At 38.2% G+C, this 11,591-nt stretch overlaps 1 protein-coding gene across 3 annotated transcripts in view; it reads left to right on the plus strand.

Annotated features, from left to right (window-relative positions):
* LRMDA (leucine rich melanocyte differentiation associated) overlaps positions 1–11,591 on the plus strand; it is a 1,128,545-nt gene that overhangs the window by 834,000 nt on the left and 282,954 nt on the right. The gene's annotated exons all lie outside the window — the stretch shown is intronic.

Here is an 11,591-nt window from a genome sequence, read left to right on the forward strand (position 1 = left end):
GTGCTGGGGGAATGGTCACAGAAGACCCATCAGGCCCTTATGGGCTGAGTTCCAAGGTGACTGTACATTGGTTATTGTTGGGGAAGAGTCAGATCTTCAGCTTTCCATGTGTGTTGGTTTGATGTTATTACTAGTCATCCATGTGTTAGAAATGACCTTATTAGTTCATGTCTAAGAAACTAATTTACAAACCAAAAGACTAACATGTTATTTCCATTTGGGTGAGGGATAGTATTCAGGAAACCACCAGACTGTTCACATTTGCATTCTAGGGACCTCCCTTCCTGGTATTAGACTAACTGGCAAAGTAAATTAATCATCTGCAAGATTTCTAAGTGAGAATGGATGATTGCATAGCTGTTAAGGTTACAAGTCAAATAGCCTGTGTTTGGAATCCTGGCCATCACCCTTAATCCCTACATGATCTCAGACCAGTTACTTACCCTCTTTAAGCCTTGATTAACTGATCTAGAAAATGAGATACTAAGAGTACTTACCTCATAGAGTTGTTGGGAGGATTAACCGGGATAATAAAAAAGTGTGTATGAAAATGCTTGGCATATAATAAGTACACAATAAATATTCACACTAGTATTAGTAGTATAATAATAATCATCTTTTTTTGTAATAAAGGTAATTGGATATGTTCCTAGGCCATTTCATCCTATAATGTTAGAATCTGGAGACTTACACCTGCTTCTCCATAGAATACTCCTTTGCAAGGACAGGATTACCTGTTAGCTGCTAGAGGAAGGCTGACAATTTCTTATTTATCAACTCTTCTTTCTCTAGATCCTGTGTTGCTTTTTTGTGTTTATGAATACATATTTAACTACTGTTTATAGAATATTTGCTATATGCCGTAATATTGTGCTCTTCATCATATTACCTAATTTAGTTCTTGCAATACCTGTTTGAGGAAAGAGTCATTATCTCCATTTTTCACAATAGGAAACTAAGTACAGAGAAGTAAGAAAAGCGAGGAGGTAGAACAGCTGGGGCTTCAGCTTAGGTCTGTCTACTAAATTCCATGTCTATGACACTAGGCTATCCTGCATCTTTATTTATAACTCAGTATATTAGACCTTGAGTTAATTAGATTATTACTAATTTTATATTTATTACAAAGTGGCATTTTTGATGAGTTTTGAGAAATGCCCTAGTATATTTACATACATTGAATGGATGACAATTTGAAACTTAATTTCAAAATTTCACAAGTTAGAATTTAAAAACTAGACTTGTAACAGGAGATGAGTTTGTTTTGATTCCGGAGAACATTCAATCTCTGGGTGATGATCCAATTAATATAGGCTAGAGTTTCCCAGGTAGATCTTATGGGAAAATGATACAGGAGGGACACATTATCAAGAGTGCTGATAAATTCAAATTGTAACTAACCTCCCTTAGATAGACCCAAGATAGTCATGCCTCCTTCTATAGGGACTCTTTGGGGCATGATAGACCAGATGCCATGATAAAGAATGGCATTCCCACAGTTGAGATGAATTTCCACAGGTCACCATATGCAGCTTCCTTTCTCAGCAAGAATATCCTTAACTTTATGCACATAATTTTTTTTTGTTTTTTTTAAACAGCTATTTTGAGGTATAATTCACATACTATATTGTTTGCCCATTCAAATTATATAATTCAACAATTTTTGACATATTACACTACAACTTTTAAAATTGTGGTAAAAATATATATAAAAAATTTACCATTTAAACTTGTAAGCATAAAATTCAGTGGCATTAATGATATTCAAAGTGTTGTGCGACCATCACAACTATTTATTTCCAAACCCTTTTTTATCACTCCAGTAGAAACTCTATAATTATTAAGCAATAACTCCCTATTTCTCCACTTTCCAGCCCTGGTAACCTCTATTCTATTTCTGCCTCTATGAATTTGCCTGTCTGCTTCATGTAAGTGGAATCATGCAATATCTGTCCTTTTATGCCTAGCTTATAGACATAAACCTTGAAAACAAGATTTATCTATGTGGAAGCCTATTTCAGAAATACATTCCTTTTGATGGCTGAATAATATTCCATTGTAAACATAATATTCTGGAATGAAGATGTGGATTCCATCTATAGCTGTCAATCTTGTGAGTAAAATCACCAGTTTTGTGTGAAATGTCTCATTTGACACAACCAACTTGGAAAACATGTTGAGGATATTTCTAGAATGGTACCCAATCTATTGACCCTTGTATTATTATTTATTCGGTGTTTTTCTTGAAATCAGTTCACTTTTAAATGTCTTAAATATTTATCTTATTTTGTCCTAATTAATGTTCATGAAGTCCATAGGTTGACGTAATATTACATATTGCTATTAAAATGATTTACATATATTTGTTCTGTATACCTCCTAAAATGTATCTTCTACCTCAGCCACATATAGGCTGTCAATAACTTCTCTAATTCTCAAACTTGAGGGGTGGGCTGTGTGTCAGAACATACTAGAGTGCCAGATTCCCTATGGAACAGAAATGAAGAGGAGAGGAATTGTAACAAATATAACCTGGTGTGAAGGCCAAGGTTAACCCTAACCCAAACCCTAACCCTGGGAGTCAATTAGTAGGTTCAAGTCTGGGCTAAAACTGCTTCTAATCAGCTGTGTGATCTTGACACATAGTCCTCTGTGCCTTAGTTTCCTCTCTGTCTTAAGCAGGTTGAAGTAGATCATCTCCTCCTGTTGCTCATTCCTGGATGTCCTGCTTCTCTCCCACATTCAGGAATGACAGGGCTAGTGTGTGCTTCTGCACTTGCCCTCCATGGGGCTGTACTGGAGGGATTTCCATTTCTTTGGCTTCATGGTATTTACACCTCTCTCTTTTCACTTCTCTCACCCCTCTTATATTAGATCAAACTCGATCTGATGTAACTCTTAATGATTTCCTTTTTAAGGAGGACATTAGGAAAGCCTGCATCAAGGACATCACTTACCTTCATTTAGAACTGTGGGCATCTGCACTGTGTCCATTTCTTACAGCGATAAAATGGCAGTAAATCAGAAAAAATGCCATGCCCTTCAGAACCTTGAGAATGAGCTCCTGAGCATTCTGCTTACGGGGATGTAGGCTTGTCAGTGAGTAAATCAGCTCTGTCCTTACGCCCCCATTGCATCAGGGAAATCTCTGACTTTGTGGGATAGGTTTGACGTGTCAGTCAATCTCTCTCTACCCCCATTTGAGACTGAGAGTGTATCTCTCCTGTGTTTTCTCTGAGCGTGTTTAGTGAGCTTATTGGCCCCCTAGGTTTCATTGCCAGCCACAGCTTAGTCCTTGTCAGAGAGATTATTATATGAACCCTAGGTGACTTCTGACTGCAGAAGGGCCCTGGATTTACATTTTTGCATTCCAAAGTCAGGAATATAAATGACTAATGGAACACTGGGCCACCGAATATTTATATATCTATTTTGAAATTTACATTTCTCCCTTTCTTATGATGGGGTTTGCTGCTCCCGGGGTCGTAGTTCATGGGCCAGTAGCATCCGTGGTGACAAAGCAATCATCTGGGGAGAGTGCTTCCCAGCCCCAGTGGCACACTGTGATGTGCTGCAGGTTATTATGCCAGCAATTCAGCAGTAATCGAACCCCCCATCTCCTTGGCCCTATCCCTGCTTCCCTTTTATGATGTCCAATAAATTTTACATGCTCCAATTTGCCTCATCCACCACCTAATACTGTTTGAATTAAGAATCTCTTCCATAGCTTTCAACAATGGGAACTTTGCTTTCTCCAAAATTATTTATAAAGGCCACTCATGACTGTGCCAGAACGGAGGCTGGACTGTGCAGGTAGAGACAGTGCACATATGCTGGTCCATATAGAAGATGGGGTTGCCCAGTTGTTGAACTTGCTGACTACATGATATATTGAGATGGAAGAGGATGTCTATAGATACATACTATATCTATATGTATGTATGTTTTGAATGAAAAAATTGTGTTAAATTAGGAATTTTTTAAAAGGTAGAGCATCCATTTGAAAGTTCCCTGGTCCCTGATACTTTTCACGATATATGGTACATTTAATAATAGCAGTAACAACAATAATAGCAACACTACTTAAGCGTTTACTACTCGCTGAATTATTCTAAGCCCTTTGCATGCATTTTAAAATTCCAACAGCCCCATGAGATTGAGCCTTTTTGTAAACCTGCTTATAAAGGTGGAAATAAGTTCAGAGAGGTTAAGTTCCTCAAGATTACATAGCTAGTAAGCAACAGGGCTAGGACTAGATGTTGTATTGTCTGATACCTGTTTTTAACATCACCTAATACCACCATGTGGTGTAGGCAGGAAGCAGAGATCTTGAGATGAATGTTAGTACATTTCTCATTCACTCAAGCCACTCACCTTTTCTCATTCACTCAAGCCACTCCCCTTTTTGTTCCCCGTCAGTATTTACAAAGCATCTATTCTGTGCACACCCTGTTCTGAACACTGGGTATCAATACAGCAGTGAAGATGACCCGCAGTCCCTACTCTTGTGGAGTTAATATTTTAATACTTGTAGTCAGACAATAGACACGTAAAGAAATAAACCATGCACTTTCTAACATTGGTGTCTCAAAGAAAATGCATGAGAGCAACGCAATGGAAAGTGTCCAGTTGGGGAGGGGAGCTATTTTCACTAGGATGCCAACAAAGGCTTCCCTGAAGACTGGGCATTTGAGCTGAGACCTAAATGTGAAGATGGCTGGGAGCTGGTGTATGGAGCATAGGGTTCGCTAGAGGAAAGGCAGCTGTAAAGACCCAAGTCAGGAATCAGTGTCTTGTGTTGGAAAGCCAGGAGGAAGACCAGAGTGGCTGAAGCATTATTAGCTGTAGAGAGAGAGTAGATTATGAAGTCAGGAGATTGGCAGACCTCAAGGCGTGCAGAGCAGGGCAGGGAGTGTGGATGCCGTGGTGTTTTCAGTTCTTTCAATCAATATTTTACTGCCTGCAGCCCATTTTCTTTTACAGCCTGTCTTCTTTTCCTTCTGCTTTGACTCGAGTCTTACCTCATAATGGGCATTTTAATCCTCTCTGTGATGCAATCCAATGCTTCTTGCTGGGCACCTTGCTTTATTCCAGCTCAGGGCAGCATTAAAAAAGAACAGAGGAAGTCTCCAGCCGAGAGGGGCTCAGGAAGGGGTGCAGGTTGCAATCTAAGAGCTTTAATTAAATCAATGCCGTGCACATCCTGTCCACAAAGCTGGGGGCAATTGCATGCTCTTTACTGACGCCATGATATACACTTAAGAGCTGTGTGACTTCACAGAAGCAATTAAATTGGCCTGTTTAATCAGTGGTAAGGCCACCATCAATAACAATTATTATTTTTATTGATTTGATAAGTGCACAGTAGAAATAATCACAGAGAATAGCTGTCTCTTTCCCCCTGTCCTTTGCCTAAATGCTAAACCCTAGGCTACCCAGGCCAAATCTATAGTGACCTCTTGAACAGTTTTACTACAGATCCATATGTAATCAAGAATTCCTACCTTGGCTAGGCGGCTCACGCCTGTAATCCCAGTACTTTGGGAGGCCGAGGTGGGTGAACTGCATTAACTCAGGAGTTCGAGGCCAGCCTGAGCCACATGGCAAAACTCCATTTCTACAAAAAGTACAAAAATTAGCTGGGTGTGGTGGCATGCACCTGTAATCCCAGCTACTTGGGAGGCTGAGGTGGGAGGATCACTTGAGCCTGGGAGGTAGAGGTTGCAGTAAGTCAAGATCATGCCACTGCACTCCAGCCTGGGCAGCAGAGTTAGACCCTGTCTTGGAAAAAAAAAAAATTCCTACCTTATAAAATTTCCATGCTAAAAAAAAATAATCCATGCTTTTTCATTGAAACAGAAATTTTCAACTTTCCAGTCCTTTGATTGGTAACAAAGGAATGCTCCCTATGGCAAATAATTAAATCTGCATTTTCTCTTTCAGCCTCATCCATCTTGTTTATTGTTTTCCTATAGCTCAAACTATGATCTCATTTTGGCCAGAAATATAGGTTCAGTGACAGAAAACAGGCTTGGACATTGCATAGCTGTGGATATATACACGATTATGTGGATGTTACAGAACCTAAAGGAAGATCTAAATGGCATTATAAGAAGCTGCTTTTACCCCAAGACTTATTATCTTTCTCCATCTCACTTATAGTTTAGCATCTTTGCATTTGTAGTTCCAAAAATCTGAATTACTTCCCCTCGCCTTCTTGTGAATTAATTCCATATACTTGTGACCATGGGAGAGAAGCAGACTCAAAGTATACCAAAATTGGAGTCCAGCCTTGGGGAATGAAAGAGTGAACCTTTGTTCAGGGAGAAAGAAGGGGCCCTGATTTATGTGTGCAGTCACTCAGTAAGAAAAGCTAAAATGTGTATGGGCTACATCCCTCTCCACTATCCCACTGTGAGAGATCCATGAAGGAATAGGGAGGGATTGTTGGTCTTCCATGGTACTTCTCCTGGAGGATAGCATATGTTATTCCCACCTGACTTCATTAAAGGTAAAGGTCTCAGGAATCTTGAATGACAATCACAGAGATGCCCCCATTCCACCATTCACCTTGGATTTTTGGCCAGGTTGGCTTCCTGGGGGAAGAGGGTTACAATTTGTCTACTAATATATGGACACATTGGTAAACTGAATTTAAATCCTCCTCAATGGACTTGATGCCACATGGGACTTGTATGGGGCATTGCTCTCACAGTTCTCATTCAAGAGCTGCTTTGTTTCCAGATAGTTCTACAGCTCTTCAATAGAACCTGGAATCCATGGTCTGTGAGGAGAAACAGTGACCCAGGTTGTGTCAGATGTTTTTATACGTACCATGAATGGCTTCTGACATCACAAAGGTTTGGAAAATGCATTAAATTCGGTTTACCTCTTAGGCATTAACAAGATACATTAGCATGAGGGCTTTGAGATTCTAGAATAATTTCTCAGCATTTTCCAAACAGACTCAGTCAAGGAACCCTTTGTCAGAGTAGGCCTATTCCCCAGAATATACATTGGAAAAGCTGGTCTGGAGGCCTGTATTAGTTTGTTCTCACACTGCTATAAAGATACTACCTGAGTCTGGGTAATTTATAAAGAAAGGAGGTTTAATTGACTCACAGTTCCACATGGCTGAGGAGGCCTGAGGAAACTTACAATCACGGTGGAAGGCAAAGGAGAAGCGACACACAACTTACATGGCAGGGAGAGAGAGCAAAGGGGGAACTGCCAAAAACTTTTAAATCCATCAACTCTTACGAGAACTCACTCACTATCATGAGAACAGCATGGAGGAAACTGCCCCCATGATCCAGTCACCTCCCACCGGGTCCCTCCTTCAACATGTGGGGATTACAATTCAAGATGCGATTTGGGTGGGGACACAGAGCCAAACCATATCAAGGACTAACCACTTATTTTTTTTTCTTGTAGGCTTGCATATGTACCTATACATGGGGTGAGCATCCTCTCACTTAGGGCAAAATTTTTAGTGAGGAATTCTATGACAGTGCTACATATATTGTATATATGATATCCCTGTTCCCAAATGTAAACATCTCCACATGTATCCCTTCTAGACCAAAACCTTTTTATCTGGCTTCATGGAAAGCTGTAGTGTTTTGGGCTAGTATTTACCATTAGATCTAAAAACGGTGCATCCTTGGATTCCTTTTGTTGAATTTTGTGTAAATATTTAGGGTATTTACACCTTGACAACCAATGACTTTAAAGTTTAAAAACTGATATTTAACTGACTTTTATACTTACTAATATCACATTATAGATGCTAAAGAATCATTGTAACCATTAGACACCAACGATTTCTTTCAGAGTTTGTTAAAATCACGTTGCCTTTTTTACTATTTTTAAATAGTATGATATCTAATCTGTTCATTGCTTGTGTGTAAGTTTCCTAAACTTTGCCATACCTCCATATAACTTGTACTATTATGTACCCAGTATGTGTGACAGGGTTCCCTGATGGCAATCTCCAAAGAAATACAATTTGGGCATAAAGTAATGGTGCCTAAATTCTGCCCAGAAATGTTCTGAAATGGGGGATAGGGTTGAGGTGACATGTAGTTCCCTCTCCAGAAGCAGGGGAGTGGAGGCAGGCTCCTGTGTCCTCCAGTATGTTTCCCATCCAGTATCCCTGGATCAGGTGAATGAAAAGGGCATTAACTAATGGGGATATTACAGGATGAGGTCAAATGATCCATGTAGAGTTCATACCAGAGTACCTGCCATATAGGAAATATCCAAGTAATTCTATTGTTGTCATGGTTTTATTGTCTTCAAATATCTTTATTTTCTTTTATGGATTTTTACATACTACCTTTTTTTAGACAGAGCAGGATTTACTTTTTTTTAGACAAAGCAGGATATATATTTCTAAACATTTGAAGATATTTGAAGGTATTTGTCATCATCACTTAGTATCCCAGGTATCCCAACCATTCCATCTTAATAGTATCTGAGTCATTCATAGTATATCCTAGACTGTTTCAGGATCACCAGTTCCAAATATTGGAGTAAGTTATTAAACAAGTCTTTTAAGATCTTATGAAGATCTTAAAATAGACCAGGAAGAGAAGTATACTTGCCCATATTTCCTCCATTTAGTTAATCCCATCTAAACTTGCTGCACATAAATTGGAAGAATTAAATAAATGAGTTGTGAAAATGGTGTTTTTACCATCAAATTAGATATGGATCATCTGGCTATAATGGGCCTGGGGCACAATCTATGCATATTCATTTGAAAACCAACTGGGATGTTTAAAAAAGTGAGCAGGTCAATAAGAATACAATGATTTCTGTAGACTGGTAATGCATGGCCAGGCATTAAAAGTGGATATTGTATGCATCTGTGTGTGTGTCTTGGAAAAGTCAAGTAGAACTTGATTTGGGTAAAACCCAAATGTTTCTGTGTTCTTTCTAGTCAGTTAGTTATTTTGTTTAGTTAGAACATAGTACCACTGAGGTAAAGGTTACGTATTTTATTCTTGTGAGAGCTGCTTTGCTATGTATCAGGGCAAAAAAAGAATGATGGAACATCTCTACTTTTTATAAAAATTAGATCAACAATCACTGTAATGGTAGAAAAAGAGAGTATATGTGTTTTGATATTGGAGCGGTTTTTACAAAAATCATATATGTCAATTTTACACAGGATCACTCACTGCTTTTCTGCTCTGAAGGATGAAGATCACAACTTTCCCTACCATTCCCCTACCTCTCAATTTTTGTTAGTTACATTGTTATCATTATATTGTTAATGACAATTGCATTCTCCTCTATAACAATGCTTTCCATAGTTGTTTAGTGTTGGCTCCATATTTAAGTGAACTCAGAGCTCAGTGGAAGTTCTTTGGATGATAGCTCTCCACTCCTGAATTCTTACTCCAGCCCTAACTGGCTGGGCTTTCTTCTATCTTTTTCAAAAAGGGCTCATGAGGCCTGAATTTCTTAAGTTCCATGCTTGTTGTATTTGAATGATATTTTAGTTGGGTATAATAGTTTTAGGCTATATATGATTTACATATATATAGAAATATTTCTTCATTGTTTCCTTGTATTGAATGTGATTCTGGATAAGTATGAGGTCAGACTGACTTTTCTTCCTTGTAGGAGATTCTTTTTTCTTCCATCTGGTTGTCTAGAGATTTTTTTCCCCTGAATTTTAGTAACTTAATTAAGATTTATTTGATTGTTCTTCATTCTTTGTATCATTTTTTTAACTTGCTAAACTCTTTTGAACTATATTTTTTTCTTCATTTTGGGGACTTTTTTAAGTATATGTTTGAATATATTTTCTGTCACATTAATTGTACACATACAAATATTACTGTCTTTATTTCCTATGAGTCTTAAATTATCTAATTATTTTATTTTATTTTTCATATGCATTCACTGTGATTATGTCAAACTGTTGCTCTGTCAGTAATTTGATTTTTAGTGTGACCCCTCTGCTCTTTGATCTTTCCAAATTGCTTTTTACTTCTGAACCATATTGCTTTGGTCTTTGTTTCTTTAGGTCTTCTTTTTAAATCCATTAAATTGTGTGTGTGTTGGTTTTTTGTTTCATCCTATTTGTAGTTGGCTGAGGTTCTTGATGAAAAAATTTTGCAGTAGATTTGGTGAGTTTTTGCACAGTATTTCTTTAAATACTTTTCCTTCACAACCTCTTCCTCTTCTCTTTATATTAACACCATATACATATATGTTAGATCTTTTCATATTGTTCCACAGGTCCTTGAGGCTGTATTCATTATCATTGTTTTCCTGTTTTCCAGGTTGGATAATTTATTTTTATGTATCTTCAAGTTCACTAAATCTCTCCTCCGTTATCTTCATTCTGTTATTGAGACAATCTAGTGAATCTATCTATCTATCTATCTATCTATCTATCTATCTATCTATCTATCTCTTTCTTTCTCTCTTTCTTTCTCTCTCTTTCTTTCTTTCTTTTGTTAATTCTTTTGTTCATTCTGTCTTTCTTTCGTTCTGTATTTCTGTTTTTGCTGTTGTTGTTGAGAATGGGTCTCCTGTTCACCCAGGCTGGAGTGCAGTGATGCAATCGCGGCTAACTGTAGCCTTGAACTCTTGGGCTTAAAGATCCTCCTGCCTTGGCCTCCCTAGTAGCTGGGTCTACAAGCATGTGCCACTATGTCCAGCTAATTTTTTTTTTTCTTTTTTGCAGTGATGGGGTCTTGCTCTGTTGTCCAGACTGGTCTCAAGCCCCTGGGCTCAAGTGATCCTCCCACCTTGGCCTCTCAAAGTGTCAGGATTACAAACATGAGCCACTGCACCTGGCCTCTAGTGAATTTTTTGTTTCACATGCTGCATTTTTCAGATCTAAAATTTCTAAGTTTTTTATAGCTTTTGTATCTTTCCTGAGAGCTTCTACTTTTCTACTAATTTAAAGCAAGCTCAACTTTATCTCATGGACTATGCAGCTATAATAGGTGCTTTGATGTGTTTATTTGCTAATTCCAACATCTGAGCCATATATGTGGATTATTTTTTTTACACAAATGTGACTAATACTTATTTGTATATTTAGTAATTTTTGGCTTGTATCCTGGGCATTTTGAACATTATGTTGCTTCAATATTGGATATATTACAACTCTGTGAAGAATATTAATATTTACTTTTTTGTTTTATGAAGAATTAGCCTCATTTCTTTCAGACTATGGGTTCTGTCTTGCCTTTCGTGGGTTCCAATCTTGGTCCAGTTTTCAAAGCCTTTGACATCCTCCTCTTGATCTGTCTGTGCCTGTACACTCAAGAGTTAGTATGAAACCTGGATGGTGGTTTACGATCCTCATTCCGTTCTCAGAGCCCTTGCTAATCTGCTTTGGATATGTCCCGCACATCCAAATGCACAGCTCAGAGATGAGCTGGGAACTTGTGTAGTTTCATATACAGAATTAGAGTATCCCCTTCTCCAGCTCTCTCACTCTGGGATTCCCTCCACACCTTCCAGTCCTTAAGGGCTGTTTTTCACAGCTCTTCAGCCCAGAAATTTGAAATAGAAATAGAAAGTGGAGTTTGAGATTTCCATGGTACTGCTGTATCAGACGA

The sequence above is a fragment of the Homo sapiens genome, chromosome 10, assembly GCF_000001405.40.
Source record: "Homo sapiens chromosome 10, GRCh38.p14 Primary Assembly".
NCBI lineage: Eukaryota > Metazoa > Chordata > Mammalia > Primates > Hominidae > Homo > Homo sapiens.